General features: G+C 41.0%; 1 long non-coding RNA gene and 1 pseudogene across 6 annotated transcripts in view; both read right to left on the bottom strand.

Annotated features, from left to right (window-relative positions):
- Nucleotides 1-16,873, bottom strand: part of LOC102723338 (uncharacterized) — a 55,402-nt gene that overhangs the window by 10,043 nt on the left and 28,486 nt on the right. For 3 of the 6 annotated variants that reach the window (XR_007058460.1, XR_007058461.1, XR_007058458.1), the window contains exons 4-5: nucleotides 1,977-2,068; nucleotides 1,222-1,435 (exon numbers count right to left, since the gene is read on the bottom strand). This is a non-coding gene — a long non-coding RNA (uncharacterized LOC102723338). Of the gene's footprint in view, nucleotides 1-196; nucleotides 264-1,221; nucleotides 1,436-1,976; nucleotides 2,069-5,373; nucleotides 5,527-16,873 lie in introns of all 6 variants that reach the window. The other 3 variants (XR_007058456.1, XR_007058457.1, XR_007058459.1) reach the window with 2 other exon arrangements.
- On the bottom strand, nucleotides 7,442-7,657 carry RPL3P13 (ribosomal protein L3 pseudogene 13; annotated as a pseudogene).

Consider the following 16,873-nt stretch of genomic DNA (forward strand, 5'->3'; position numbering starts at 1 on the left):
AATTTTCTAAAACACAAACAAAAAAGATATGTAGACCCTTCAACACTGAAATAAATTTTCAGACCAACTTTATGAATATATTAAACATATTTCTGATATTTCAAACAAAATGCAAGGAACATAATCTATTTTTGAAGATCCTAGGTATTTTAAGGGTCAAATTCTCTAAACAACTTATGTGATCATAATTGTTTACCTTGAGGTTACTGAGATGTTTGTGGCTTTTTATCTAATCTACAGGACCCTCCTACCATTGAGTCCTCCTGTAAGAGATACACAGCCATTCAGATTGTTGCCACTATCAATTCAAGGTCACTGCTGGGCTACTGACTATCCTAAGACTGCATTTACTCCCTAATTCTTCTTTCACTTTTACACTCTCCTATCGAACCACCGAAATCTGGCTTCTGCCTCAACCAATCCACCAAAATAGCTTTTGCCACAGTCACCTATAACCTCTCTGTTGATAAATCCAATGTATACTTTTCAGTAATATATATTACTTGATTTCTCAGAAACATTTAATAGATAACCATCCTATTGTTTCTGAAACCATCTCTTCCTCATCTTTCAAAGGTCTAAATTTTACTGATATTTCTATTTCAACTATTATTCTTTCTTCATCTCCTTGGAGAAAATGGTCTTTTTCCCCTATGTTTTGGTTCTGTACTTAAAAAAAAAAAAACTATAATATTAAAAAAAACTGTTTAGCTATTATTACAAATTCTCATGGACAGAGATGTGGAGAAGAGAAATAAAAAACTTGAGTTAGGCACAGGCTAGAAGAAACTATTACAAACATTTTGTCTAAAAAATAGTGTATTTTCACACTCACATTTCAGACTGGAAGGAAATATAAGGACATGTACAGGACCAACTGTGACCAACTTTTTCATCTCTTGTTCCTAGTACCTACTAGTGCGCTCCAAAGACTGGTGCCTTGATTTGAAGCAAAGGTTGGAGGAAGCCTATTTTGGCAGGATTATATCCATACTACCTAGCATCTGGGGGAATTGAGATATATCTATATCTATATATATCTATATATATGATGATGATATACTGATATGGGGTATATATACATACCATATCCCTTTTCAGTTCTAATTGGGCAAAAGGAACTGGCAGGAAGTAGGACAGGAAATGCTTTAGTGGGAAGTTTTCAGACACTACTATCCCCATGTTTCTTCCCGGCCCTGGCTACTTTCATCCAATACTCACGGATGGCGGTGGGAAGAATAGCTGGCTGGGAATACAAGGTCTCCTGCCCAAGGCTTAGCAGTCGTGATGGGAGTAGAGATCACAGCAATCCAAAAAGGAAAACTGTCATTATTTAACAAGGATTTATTCAACGATCATTGCTTTGTGAGAAGCTGGTGATTTCCCGACAGCATCTATTCTCCAGGAGTTCAGGGTTCAGTTGAGAGGTAAAGACCTAAAGAGATGCAGTAATGTAATATATCATGTTAGGTATGTCCATGGGGCAGCGATGGGACAAGGCCCTGTTCTTGCAGTTGTTCAGTTAGGCTACATGGAGGTAAAGCCTCTGTATTGAGATGAAAATTGAAGGATAAATGACAAATTCACTGTCAGGCCTCTGAGCCCAAGCTAAGCCATCATATCCCCAGTGACCCACACGTATATATCCAGATGGCCTGAAGCAACTGAAGATCCACAAAAGAAGTGAAAATAGCCTTAACTGATGACATTCCACCATTGTGATTTATTTCTGCCCCACCCTAACTGATCAATGTACTTTGTAATCCCCCCCACCCTTAAGAAGGTTCTTTGTAATTCTCCCCACCCTTGAGAATGTACTTTGTGAGATCCACCCCCTGCCTGCAAAACATTGATCCTAACTCCACCGCCTATCCCCAAACCTATAAGAACTAATGATAATCCACCACCCTTTGCTGACTCCTTTTTCGGACACAGCCTGCCTGCACCCAGGTGAAATAAACAGCCATGTTGCTCACACAAAGCCTGTTTGGTGGACTCTCTTCACACGGATGCATGAAACATTCACCAAGTAGGAACTGAGGAGAATGATTAACTCCACCGTCTGCACCTGAGACATAAGAAGCAAAAAATAAAATAAATACACATGTAACTGTGTTTTATATATACCATCAGGTGTTACTTACCAACAGGGATACATTGTGAGAAATGCATCATTAGTTGATTTTGTCCTTATGCAAACATCACACACTGCACTTACATAAACCTAGATGGTAAGCCTGCCTACCACACACCCAGGCTCCATGGCATAGACTATCACTTCTGGCTACAAACCTGTATAGCATGTGACTGTACTAAATACTTAAAGGAACTGCAATACAATGGTAAGTATTTACGCATTTAAACATAGAAAAGGTACCATAAAAGTATAGTATAAAAGATAAAAAATAGTACATCTATACAGGACACTTATCATGAATGGAACTTGTGGGACTTCAAGTTGCTCTGGGTGAGCCAGTGGGTAAGTGGTGAGTGTGAAGACCTAGGACATTATTGTACACTACTATAGATTTTATAAGCACTGTATGCTTAGGCTACAAAAATTTATTTTAAAAATCTTTCTGCTTCAATAAAAAATTGACCTTAGCTTATGTAACTTTTTTACTTTATAAACTTTTTTTTAATACTTCAAGTTCTAGCGTACATGTGCACAACGTGCAGGTTTGTTATTTACGAATACACGTGTCAAGTTGGTGTGCTGCACCCATTAACTCGTCATTTACATTAGGTATATCTCCTAATGCTATCCCTCCCCCCTCCCCCCAGCCCACAACAGGCCCCAGTGTGTGGTGTTCCCCATCCCGTGTCCAAGTGTTCTCATTGTTCAATTCCCACCTATGAGTGAGAATGTGCGGCCTTTGGTTTTCTGTCCTTGCGAAAGTTTGCTCAAAATGATGGTATCCAGGTTCATCCATGTCCCTACAAAGGACATGAACTCATCCTTTTTTATGGCTGCATAGTATTCCATGGTGTATATGTGCCACATTTTCTTAATCCAGTCTATCATTGATGGACATTTGGGTTGGTTCCAAGTCTTTGCTATTGTGAATAGTGCTGCAATAAACATACGTGTGCATGTGTCTTTACAGCAGCATAATTTATAATCCTTTGGGTATATACCCAGTAATGGAATGGGTGGGTCAAATGGTATTTCTAGTTCTAGATCCCTGAGGAATTGCCACACTGTCTTCCACAATGGTTGAACTAGTTTACAGTCCCACCAACAGTGTAAAAGTGTTCCTATTTCTCCACATCCTCTCCAGCACCTGTTGTTTCCTGACTTTTTAATGATCGCCATTCTAACTGGTGTGAGATGGTATCTCATTGTGGTTTTGATTTGCATTTTTCTGATGGCCAGTGATGATGAGCATTTTTTCATGTGTCTTTCGGCTGCATAAATGTCTTCTTTTGAGAAGTGTCTGTTCATATCCTTTGCCCACTTTTTGATGGGGTTGATTTTTTCTTGTAAATTTGTTTAAGTTCTTTGTAGATTCTGGATATTAGCCCTTTGTCAGATGAGTAGATTGCAAAAATTTTCTCCCATTCTGTAGGTTGCCTGTTCACCCTGATGGTAGAGCTTACTGTGCAGAAGCTCTTTAGTTTAATTAGATCCCATTTGTCAATTTTGGCTTTTGTTGCCGTTGCTTTTGGTGTTTTAGACATGAAGTCCTTGCCCATGCCTATGTCCTGAATGGTAATTCCTAGGTTTTCTTCTAGGGTTTTTATGGTTTTAGGTCTGACATTTAAGTCTTTAATCCATCTTGAATTAACTTTTGTATAAGGTGTAAAGAAGGGATCTAGTTTCAGCTTTCTACATATGGCTAGCCAGTTTTCCCAGCACCATTTATTAAATAGGGAATCTTTTCCCTATTTCTCATTTTTGTCAGGTTTGTCAAAGATCAGATGGTTGTAGATGTGTGGTATTATTTCTGAGGGCTCTGTTCTGTTCCATTGGTCTAAACTATTCCAATCAATAGAAAAAGAAGGAATCCTCCCTAACTCATTTTATGAGGCCATCATCATCCTGATACCAAAGCCTGGCACAGACACAACAAAAAAGAATTTTAGACCAATATCCCTGATGACCATCAACGCAAAAATCCTCAATAAGATACTGGTAAACCAAATCCAGCAGCACATCAAAAAGCTTATCCACCACGATGAAGTGGGCTTCATCCCTGGGATGCAAGGCTGGTTCAACATATGCAAATCAATAAATGTAATCCAGCATATAAACAGAACCAAAGACAAAAACTACATGATTATCTCAATGGATGCAGAAAAGGCCTTCGACAAAATTCAACAGCCCTTCATGCTAAAAACTCTCAATAAATTAGGTATCGATGGGACGTATGTCAAAATAATAAGAGCTATTTACGACAAACCCACAGCCAATATCATACTGAATGGGCAAAACTGGAAGCATTCCCTTTGAAAACTGGCACAAGACAGGGATGCCCTCTCTCACCACTCCTATTCAACATAGTGTTGGAAGTTCTGGCCAGGGCAATCAGGCAGGAGAAAGAAATAAAGGGTATTCAGTTAGGAAAAGAGGAAGTCAAATTGTCCCTCTTTGCAGATGACATGATTGTATATTTAGAAAACCCCATCGTCTCAGCCCAAAATCTCCTTAAGCTGATAGGCAACTTCAGCAAAGTCTCAGGATACAAAATCAATGTGCAAAAATCACAAGCATTCTTATACACCAACAACAGACAAACAGAGAGCCAAATCATGAGTGAACTCCCATTCACAATTGCTTCAAAGAGAATAAAATACCTAGGAATCCAACTTACAAGGGATGTGAAGGACCTCTTCAAGGAGAATTATAAACCACTGCTCAACAAAATAAAAGAGGATACAAACAAATGGAAGAATATTCCATGCTCATGAATAGGAAGAATCAATATCGTGAAAATGGCCATACTGCCCAAGGTAATTAATAGATTCAATGCCATCCCCATCAAGCTACCAATGACTTTCTTCACAGAATTGGAAAAAAACTACTTTAAAGTTCATACGGAATGAAAAAAGAGCCTGCATTGCCAAGTCAGTCCTAAGCCAAAAGAACAAAGCTGGAGGTATCATGCTACCTGACTTCAAACTATACTACAAGGCTACAGTAACCAAAACAGCATTGTACTAGTACCAAAACAGAGATACAAACTTTTTATTTTTTTAACTTTTTGACTCTTCTGTAATAGCACTTAGCTTATAACACAAACACATTGTACAGCTGTACAAAAATATTTTCTTTCTTCATATCACTACTCTATAAGCTTTTTGTTATTCAAAGATTTTTTTAACTTTTTCCAACATTTTTGTTAAAAACTGACACACAAACACAGACATTACCTAGGCCTACACAGCATCAGGATCATCAATATCACTGTCTTCCATTTCCATATCTTGTCCCACTGGAAGGATTTCAGGGATAATAACATGCATGGAGCTGTCATCTTCTAGGATAACAATGCCTTTGTTTGGAATACTTCCTGAAAGACCTGCCTGAATATGTTTTACAGTTAACATTTTTTTATAAGTATAAAAAGCACACTCTGAAATAACAATAAGAAGTATAGTAAATACATAAGCCAGTAACACTCATTTATTATCCTTATCAAGTATTACATACTGTACATAATTGTATATGCTAGTCTTTCATATGACTGGGAGCTCAGTCGGTTTATTTGCATCAGCATCATTACAAACATGAGTAATGCATTGCACTATGACATTAGGAAGGCTACTATATCACTAGATGACAGGAATTTTCCAGCTCCGGTATAATCTTATGGGACTACCATCATTCATGCAGTTGGTCTTTGACCAAAATGGTGTTTTTTTTTTTCAGATGGAGTCTCGCTCTGTTGCCCAGGCTGGAGTACAGTAGCGTAATCTCAGCTCACTGCAAGCTCCACCTCCTGGGTTCACGCCATTCTTCTGCCTCAGCCTCCGGAGTAGCTGGGACTACAGGCACCTGCCACCACGCCCGGCAACTTTTTTTTTTGTATTTTTAGTACAGACGGGGTTTCACCATGTTAGCCAGGATGGTCCCGATCTCCTGACCTCGTGATCCGCCTGCCTCGGCTTCCCAAAGTGCTGGGATCAAAGGCACGTGAGCCACCGCGCCTGGCCCAAAATGTTGTTCTGTGGTGCATGATTTTATGTATTAACGTATATATAGTATATATATGTGTGTGCATATATACATGTGCATGTATGTGTGTGTATGTGTATGTGTGTGTGTGAGAGAGAGAGAGCTTGCCACATGGGAAGTTGGTAGCAGACCTGAAGAGTATGCCCAGCAAGGAAAAAGCTGATTCTGTGTTAGCCATGTGAAGCAACAGGGCATTATTCTTCTCAAGGGCTCCTTTGGAGTGTGTGGGAGTGTGCCAAGAAGTCAAGAAGTCATGGATAAAGTGGCACATCTTCAAGGACATTAATGCATTTTGATATTCAAAAATAGATATGTAATAATAGAGGCTGGGCATAGTGACTCACATCTGTAATCCTAGCACTTTGGGAGGCTGAGGCAGGCAGATCACCTGAGGTCAGAAATTTGAGACCAGCCTGGCCATCATGACAAAACCTTGTCTCCACTAAAAAATACAAAAGAGGTGGCACATGCCTGTAGTCCCAGCTACTGGGGAGGCTGAAGCATGAGAATCACTTGAACCTGGGAAGCAGAGGTTGCAGTGAGCCGAAATTGCACCACTGCACTCCAGCCTGGGCAACAGAGCAAGACTCTGCCTTAAAGAGATAAATAAATAGGCCAGGTGCGGTGGCTCAAACCTGTAATCCCAGCACTGTGGGAGGCCGAGGCAGGTGGATCACGTGAGGTCAGGAGTTCGAGACCAGCCTGGCCAACACAGTGAAACACCGTCTCTACTAAAAATAAAAAAATTAGCCAGGCATGGTGGCAGACAATCCCAGCTACTCGGGAGGCTGAGGTATGAGAATCGCTAGAACTCGGGAGGTGGAGGTTGCAGTGAGCCAAGATCGTGCCACTGCACTCCAGCCTGGGAGAAAGAGAGAGACTCTGTCATAAATACATACATACATACATACATACATACATACATACATACATACATGTAATAGAATGGCAAATGCATGTGAAGTTTTTAAGAAAAACCACACAGCTTAAACAATTCTCAGTATTTTAAGTATTTCACTTTGTCTCCTACCATCCCTGGGAGTTTGCATCTCTTTTCCTTTGCCCTTGCAGGCAAGTCCCTAATCATTTGCAAAGAGAAAGGAAGAACTGCAATTAGGTGAGCATTATTGGTACTTTGGTAATTTGCATTTGCCTTTTTTCTTTTTCACATTTTAGATCAACACAACATTTTATTTATTTTTTTTTTTCAGTGGAAAATAACTTATATTGAGACCCCACGAGCTGCACAATGTGTTCCTGGCATTAAGCTCATTCTTCTTTTGCAGTTCGATCTTTCTTGAGTGGTTCCATGAACGCTTTCTTCTCTTCTATGGTCTGGAAGCAGCCATGGCCAAACTTGGAGGTGGTGTCTATGAACTTAAGGTCAATCTTCTCCAGAACCCGCCATTTGGTCTGCACCAGCAAAGACTTCTAGAGGGTGAGCACTTGCTTCTTGGTTCCCACCACTCAGCCTTTCAGCTGTGACCTCTTTATTCATGGCATATAGTTTATCATATACCAAGACCTTTTATATTATATAGATTCTGTCTCTGGCCTATTTATTCCATTGAAATTTGGGTTATAATTGCAGGAGACTTAAGACTAATTGAGTAAGCACTGCTAGATGGACGAACAGAAACAACTCTGGTTTGCAGCTCCCAGCAAGATCAATGCAGAAGGCAGGTGATTTCTGCATTTCCAACCGAGGTACCTGGCTCATCTCTTTGGGACTGGTTAGAGAGTGGGTGCAGCCTACGGAGGGCGAGCTGAAGCAGGGTGGGGTGTCGCCTCACCCAGGAAGCACAAGGAGTGAGGGAACTCCCTCCCCTAGCCAAGGGAAGCTGTGAGGGACTGTTCCATGAGGAATGGTGCATTCCGGCCCAGACACTAGGCTTTTCCCACGGTCTTCACAACCCACAGACCAGGAGATTCCCTCAGGTGCCTATGCCACCAGGGCCCTGGGTTTCAAGCACAAAACTGGGTGGCCATTTGGGCAGACACCAAGCTAGCTGCAGGAGGTTTTTTTCATACCCCAAAGGCACCTGGAGCACCAGCGAGAGAGAACCGTTCACTCCCCTGGAAACGGTGCTGAAGCCAGGGAGCCAAGTGGTCTAATTCAGCAGATCCCACCCCCATAGAGCCCAGCAAGCTAAGATCCACTGGCTTGAAATTCTCCCTGCCAGCACAGCAGTCTGAAGTAGACCTGGGACGCTAGAGTTTGGTGAAGGGAGGGGCGGCTGCCATCACTGAGGCTTGAGTAGGCAGCTTTCCCCTCACAGTGTAAACAAAGCCTCCAAGAGGTTCAAAATGGGAGGAGCCTACCACAGCTCAGGAAAGCCACTGTGGCCAGACTGCCTTTCCAGATTCCTCCTCACTGGGCAGGGCATCTCTGAAAGAAAGGCAGCAGACACAGTCAGAGGCTCCTAGATAAAACTGCCATCTCCCTGGGACAGAGCATCTGGGGGAAGGGGTGGCTGTGGGCACAGCCTCAGTAGACTTAAACGTTGCGGCCTGGCCAGCTCTGAAGAGAGCAGGGGATCTTCCAGCACAGCGCTCGAGCTCTGCTAAGGGACAGACTGCCTCCTCAAGTGGATCCCTGACTTCCATGCCTCCTGACTGGGAGACACCTCCTAGCAGGAGTCAACAGGTATCTCATACAGGAGAGCTCGCGCTGGCATCTGGCAGGTGCCCCTCTGGGACGAAGCTTCCAGAGGAAGGAACAGGCAGCAATATTTGCTGTTCTGCAGCCTCCACTGTTGATACCCAGGCATACAGGGTCTGGACTAGACCTCCAGCAAACTCCAGCAGACATGCAGCAGAGGGGCCTGTTAGAAGAAAAACTAACAAACAGAAAGGAATAGTATCAACATCAACAAAAAAGAAGTCCACACAGAAACCTCATCCGAAGGTGACCAACATCAAAGACCAAAGGAAGTTAAATCCATGAACATGAGGAAAAACCAGCACCAAAAGGCTGAAAATTCCAAAAACCAGAACGCCTCTTCTCCTTCAAAGGATCACAACTCCTCACCAGCGAGGGTACAAAACTGGATGGAGAATGAGTTTGATGAATTTACGGAAGTAGGCTTCAGAAGGTGGGTAATAACAAACTTCTCCAAGCTAAAGGAGCATGTTCTAACCCAATGCAAGGAAGCTAAGAACCTTGAAAAAAGGTAGAGGAATTGCTAACTAGAATAACCAGTTTAGAGAAGAACATAAATGACCTGATGGAGCTGAAACACGCAGCATGAGAACTTCGTGAAGCATACACAAGTATCAATAGCCAAATCCATCAAGTGGAAGAAAGGATATCAAATATGGAAGATCAACTTAATGAAATAAAGTGTGAAGACAAGATTAGAGAAAAAAGAATGAAAAGGAACAAAGACTCCAAGAAATATGGGACTATGCGAAAAGACCAAATGTACAATTGATTGGTGTACCTGAAAGTGACAGGGAGAATGGAACCAAGTTGGAAAACACTCTGCAGGATATTATCCAGGAGACCTTCCCCAACCTAGCAAGACAGAACAACATTCAAATTCAGGAAATACAGAGAACACCACAAAGATACTCCTCGAGAAGAGCAACCCCAAGCCACATAATTGTCAGATTCACCAAGGTTGAAATAAAGGAAAAAATGTTAAGGGCAGCCAGAGAGAAAGGTCGGGTTACCCACAAAGGGAAGCCCATCAGACTAACAGCGGATCTCTCTGCAGAAACCCTACAAGCCAGAAGAGAGTGGGGGCCAATATTCAACATTCTTAAAGAAATAATTTTCAACCCATAATTTCACATCCAGCCAAACTAAGCTTCATAAGCGAAGGAGAAATAAAATTACTTACAAGAGGGATTATTTATAGATACCTCTCAAAGCTTGCACCAATATATTATTACATTATAAATCCGAAAAAAAGAGCAGAATTTCCCAAAAATGTTAGACCACAGGAGTTTTAGTACACAAACTCCAGAGCCATATGGCCTCCTTTGTTTAAATTCTGCCTCTAGTAACTGTGGCATCTTGGACAAGTCACTTAATCGTCCTGTGCCTTAGTTTCTGCATCTGAAAAGTTGCAATAGTGAAAGCACCTACTTTATTGGGTAGTTGTGAAGCTTCAATGGGTTAGCATGAGTGAAGTATTTGCAGCAGTACCTGCCTCATAGTAAACACCACAAAGTTTCGCTATTGTTAGAGCATTAGTTTTGTGTTGCTGTTATTCCTTATTCCAGCTGTCATTATTTTAGAGGACTACACATTAACATCTCAGTGATCTAGAACAAATGGAGCAATGTGAGAAACTGTGCTGTATCTTGATCAGTAGTTACCCAACCCAGTGAGTCTGAAAACAACAGATTGCTATCCCTCCCACGTGAGATTCTGATGCAATTGGTCTGTGACAGAGACCAGGAATTTAAGACCTGTATTTCAGAACTCTAGGAAACTTTTTCGCCTCAGCATGTGAGAACTTTAGAGGTTTAATGAAAGACAAGAGGCTAGAATCCCACAATGGCTAGTGGACTTAATCCATGGCACCACCAATTGAACAGTCTGTTAAACTACTCATTTATTGTAGTGGTTTAAGGCAGTTGCAAGGAAACATGAGTGAGGCCTTCCAAAAGGGTTAGTAGTATCTCATGGTCCAGAGCAGTGTGGGGAAGGGCAAAAAAATGGATAAGAGGTATGAGAAGAGACAATAAAATAACTTGCACCAAAGATAAATGCATTTCACTGTTTTCTAGATATTGTCAGTGTCCCTGCCACACATGTTATACCATTTTGCAATCCTAACAGCAACAAGCAATAGTGACTGTTTCTCCAAAGTCTCCCCCACAGAATGAACTATTGCACCTTTGGCTTTCTGCCTATCAGGGTGAAATATTGTATGTTAGTATAATTTTAATTTGCATGCCCTTAATTTGCATATTCTCTTTATATGTTTAGGTCTATTTGTATTTATTTTTTTGTAAACTATATGGCTTTGAATTCTCTTTGTCACAAGTGTAAGCTGTTCCATAACAGCTTATGCTATTATGGGCTATGTTCATAAACCACTCAAAGAGCTACAGAAAATAGAATGAAGTATAGTCCTTTCATGATCACTTGCCCTTCTTATTGCTAAAAGAACCAACAGAGCACCAAAGAGACCTTATAGCTGTTCCTCAACTGGAGTAGACCAGGCTATTCCCTAGTTCACCCTGGTAGCAACAGCCAGCTTTCTTCCTCAGACAAACCAAAATATCATAAGTCTCTTGTTTGGAGAAATGGGAGACTTGGTCCATATGTTTAAAGGGTCTACATCATTTGCCATTTTCTTAATCTTGGAAGGAAACATAGATTGACTTCAAAATGTTATATTTTTTCATGTAACAAAGAGAAATGTCATGATGAATCAAATGAATCAAAAGATCAATTTCACACAATTGTGGTATTTTGTAAACTGAATATGGATACTTAACATATTGTGAAAATTAAATTGCTTGTGGTACTTAAGCATTGAATTAATTAAAACTCCTCTAATTCAAAAATGTTATCTATCTGCTAAGCACAATATATTTATATAAGGTCTGAAAAAAATAGCCCTTATTTTTAATTATGTTTTGTTATTGTGTTAAAGTTACACTGGCCAACAAAATTAGAACTTAGTTATTACACTTGATGGAAAAGCTTATGTCATCCATAACTACAATTGAACCCAACATGGGAAAAGCCACTGGTTTCAGCTGATATGGAATTAATTTATACTCTGAAAAGCTTACTAACTGGAAGGTACTTGAAAGTTATTATATTGATTATAATATCTTGAATATCAAAAATAATGGATTTTTTTCCTGAGCACACACATATTTTCTTTCTCTTTTATTCCTAATGCAGGGGTAAGCAGAAAGGACACTATTATCTACCCACTCCGCGTGGGCTCTCATCCAATTAAAGGGACACAGACCCTAAAGAATGATCATACAAAACACTAAATATATCATTTCCCATTAGCACAGCACACATCTTATTCCTGGTAGTAGAAATTAGGCCATGCTAATGTGAGAGTCTAATAATGAGAGCATAAGAACTAATACACATCACTAAGATGAGTTTCAAGTTTCCAAGAATCAACCTAATTCTCTTTATAATATGCAAACTGGTAGAAGATGCTAGGAGGCTTTTGGCGAAAGAAAAAGAAAGAGTAGAGTGATGGTTAATTTTACCTGTCCACTTGGCTGAGCCACAGTACCCAGATACATGGTCAAACATTATTCTAAATGTTTCTATAAAGATTTCTTTTAGATGAGATTAACATTTACAACAGTAGACTGAGCAAAGCAGACTACCCTCCATAATGTGGGTGGGCCTCATCCAATCAGTTGAAGGCTTTAATAGACGAAGACTGAACTTGGCCGTGCACTCTGGCTCATGCCTGTGATCCCAGAACTTTGGGAGGCCAAGGCGGGCAGATCACTTGAGATCAGGAGTTCGAGACCAGCCTGGCCAACCTGGTGAAACCTCGTCTCTACTAAAAATACAAAAAAAATTAGCCAGGCATGGTGGTACACACCTGTAATCCCAGCTACCCAGGAGGCTGAGGCATGAGAATTGCTTGAACCCAGGAGGCAGAGGTTGCAGTGAGCTGAGATCACACCACTGCACTCCAGCCTGTGTGACAGAGTGAGACCCTGTCTCAAAACAAGAAAAACAAAACAAAACTAAAAAACAAGAAAGAACAAGACTGAACTCCCCCAGAGAAGGAATTCTGCCAGCAGACTGCTTTTGTACTCATACTGCGGCATCACCTCTTCCCTGAGTCTACAACCAGCCTGCCTACCCTGCAGATTTCAGACCTGCCTGTCTCCTCCACAATTGTGTCAGCTAAGCTAATTCCTTGAAATAAATCTCTTGAGTGGGGGATCCAAAATGGCCAATTAGAAGGCGCTGCGGTCAGCACTCATGGAAAGGAATGAAAAGGGGTGAGTAAATTCAGCACCTTCAACTGAAATATCCAGGTTCTTACACTGGGACTAACTAGGCAAACAACTCAAACCACAAACAATGAAAAAAAGCTTTTGGGGTTGGGGAGGACAACAGCCCACCCAGGAGTAGCATAAAGCCAAAGGAACTCCCGTCCCCACCAAGGGAAGCAGTGAGTGATTGTGCAACACGGTCTGGGAAACCATGCTTCTCCCATGGATCTTTGCAATCTGTGGATCAGGAGATCACCTCATGAGCCCACACCACCGGGCCTTGGGTCCAATACACAGAGCTGTGTGGAGTCTTAGTAGATCAGCCACTCAGGCACACACAGAGTTTTATATACTGCAGCCCCAGGATTCCCAGTGAGGTGAGAAATCCATTCATACATATCTCTAGGAAGGGGTCTGAATCCAGGGAGCCAAGCAGCCTCGTTCTGCACATCCCACAACCATGACACCCCACAAGTTAAGTCCCACTGGCTTAGAATTCCAGCCAGCTGATGGCAACAGACTGGAATCTGCCTGAGATGGGTCTGAGTTCCCAGGGAGGATGGGCAGGCACCATCTCTGCAGTTTGGTTGACTCAGCCATTCCAGCCTGCCAGCTCTGGAGAATACAAATCGTCCAGAGAAGGAAGGGCACCCCCTAGAACAGCACACCTGCTATACCAAAAAGCAACCAGACTGCTTTAAGCTGGTCACTGATCCTGTTCCTCCTGACTGGGTGAGACCTCCCAAGAGGGGTCTCCGGCCACCTCCTACAGGTACGTTTGGGCAGCAACAGGTCAGTACACCCCTGGGATGATGCTTCCAGAGGAAAGAGCAGACTGCCATCTTTGCTGTTTCACAGCCTTCATTGGTGGTACCTCCAGGTATGGGAAAAACTGAGGTAATAGGGTCTGGAGTGGACCTCCAGCAAACCACAGCAGCCTTATGATAGAGTAGCCTGACTGTTAAAAGAAAAACAAATAAACAGAAAACAACAACAACAACATCAACAAAAGAGACTCCACAAAAACCCCATTCAAAGGTCAGCAACCTCAAAGATCAAAGGTAGATAAGCCCACAAAGATGAGACAAAAATTAATGCTAAAGTGATGAAACTCAGAAAGCCAGAGTGCCTCTTCTCCTCCAAATGACCGCAACCCCTCTCCAGCAAGGGCACAGAACTGGGCTGAAGCTGAAATGGCTGAATTGACAGAAGTAAGCTTCAGAAGGTGGGTAATAACAAACTTCAGTGAGCTAAAGAAGTATTTTGTAACCCAATGCAAATAAGCTAAGAATCATGATAAAACAATACAGGAGCTGAAAGCCAGAATAGCCAATTTAGAGAGAAAAACAACTGATCTGATGGAGCTGAAAAACACTGTACAAGAACTTCACAATGCAATCATAAGTATCAATAGCAGAACAGACCAAGCAGAGGAAAGAATCTCAGAGCCTGAAGACTGTCTTTCTGAAATAAGACAGACAGACAAGAATAGAGAAAAAAGAATAAAAAAGAATGAACAAAACCTCTCAGAAATATGGAATTATGTAGAAAGACTAAACCTACAAGTGAGTGGGGTACCTGAAAGAGATGGGAAGAATGGAACCAAGTTAGAAAACATACGTCAAGATATCATCCAGGAGCACATCCCAACCTAGCAAGACAGGCCAACATTCAAATTCAGGAACTGCAGAGAACCCCAGTGTATTAGTCTGTTCTCATACTGCTAATAAAGACATACCTGAGACTGGGTAATTTATAATGAAAGAGGTTTAATTGACTCACAGTTCCACGTGGCTGGGGAGGACTCACAATCAAAGCAGAAGATGAATGAGGAGCAAAGTCACATCTTACATGGCAGCAGGCAAGAGAGCAAGTGTAGGGGAACTCCCCTTTACACAACCATCAGATCTCAGATATCATGAAACTTATTCATTATCATGAGAATAGCATGAGAAAGACCTGCCCCCATGATTCAGTTGCCTCCCACCGCGTCCCTCCCATGACACATGGGAATCATAAGAGCTGCAATACAAGATGATATTTGGGTGAGGACACAGCCAAATCATATCACCCAATAAAATACTCCACAAAAAGACCAACCCCAAGACATATAATTATCAGATTTGCCAAGGTCAAAATGAAAGAAAAAATGTTAAGGGCAGCCAAAGAGAAGGACCAGGTCACCTACAAAGGGAATCCATCAGACTAACAGCAGATCTCTCAGCAGAAACCCTACAAATCAAAAGAGAGTGGGGGCCAATATTCAACTTTCTTAAAGAAAAGAATTTTAAACCCAGAATTTCATATCTGGCCAAACTAAGCTTCATAAGCAAAGGAGAAATAAAATCTTTTTCAGACAAGCAAATGCTGAGGGAATTCATCACCATCAGGCCTGCCTTGCAAGAGCTCCTGAAGAAAGCACTAAATATCCAAAGGAAAAACTGGTACCAGCCACTACAAAAACACACTGAAGCACACAGATCAGTGACACCATGAAGCAACTGTATCAACAAGTCTGCAAAATAACCAGCCAGCATCATGATGACAGGATCAAATTCACACATAACCATACTAACTTTAAATGTAAATGAGCTAAATGCCCCAATTAAAACACAGAATGGCAAGCTAGATAAAGAGCTAAGACTCATGGGTATGCTCTCTTCAAGAGACACATCTCAAGTACAAAGACACACATAGGCTCAAAATAAACAGAGGGAAGAAAATTTACTAAGCAAATGGAAAACAGAAAAAAGCAAGGGTCACAATCCTAATTTCTGACAAAATAAACTTTAAACCAACAAAGATAAAAAAAAAAAAAGAAAAAGAAAGGCATTACATAATGGTAAAGGGATCAATTCAACAAGAAAAGCTAACCATCTTAAATATATATACACCTAATATAAGAGCACCCAGATTCATAAAGCAAGTTCTTAGAGATCTACAAAGAGCTTAGACTACCACACAATAAGAGTGGGAGACATTAACACCCCACTGACAATACTGGACAGATCATTGAGACAGAAAATTATCAAAGATATTCAGGACCTGAACTCAGCTCTGGATCAATTGGACCTAATAGCTATCTACAGAACTCTCCACCCCACAACAACAGAATATACATTCTTCTCATTGCCAACAGCACTTAAACTAAAACTGATCACATATTCAGAAGCAAAACACTCCTCAGCAAATGCAAAAGAACTGAAATCATAACAAACAGTCTCTTAGACCACAGTGCAATCAAATTAGAACTCAAATTTAAGAAACTAACTCAAAACCACATAACTACATGGAAATTGAACAACTTGCTCCTGAACAACACCTAGGTAAATAATAAAATTAAGGCAGAAATCAAGTTCTTTGAAACTAATGAGAACAAAGACAATGTGCCAGAGTCTCTGGAATGCAGCTAAATCAGTGTTAAGAGGAAAATTTATAGCACTAAATGCCCACATCAAAAAGCTAGAAAGATCTCAAGTTAACAACCTAACATCATAACAAAAGAACAAAAGAACAAAAGAACCAAGAGAAAACAAACCCCAAAGCTAGCAGAAGACAAGAAATAACCAAGATCAGAGCTGAACTGAAGGAGACAGAGACACGAAAACCCCTACAAAAAAATCAATGAATCCAGGAACTGGGTTTTTTTTTCCCAAAAATTAATAAAATAGAGCAGTAGGCTACATAATGAGAAAAGAGAGAAGAATCAAATAAACACAATCAGAAATGATAAGGAGGATATTA

Source organism: Homo sapiens, chromosome 4 (genome assembly GCF_000001405.40).
Source record: "Homo sapiens chromosome 4, GRCh38.p14 Primary Assembly".
In the NCBI taxonomy this organism is placed as follows: domain Eukaryota; kingdom Metazoa; phylum Chordata; class Mammalia; order Primates; family Hominidae; genus Homo; species Homo sapiens.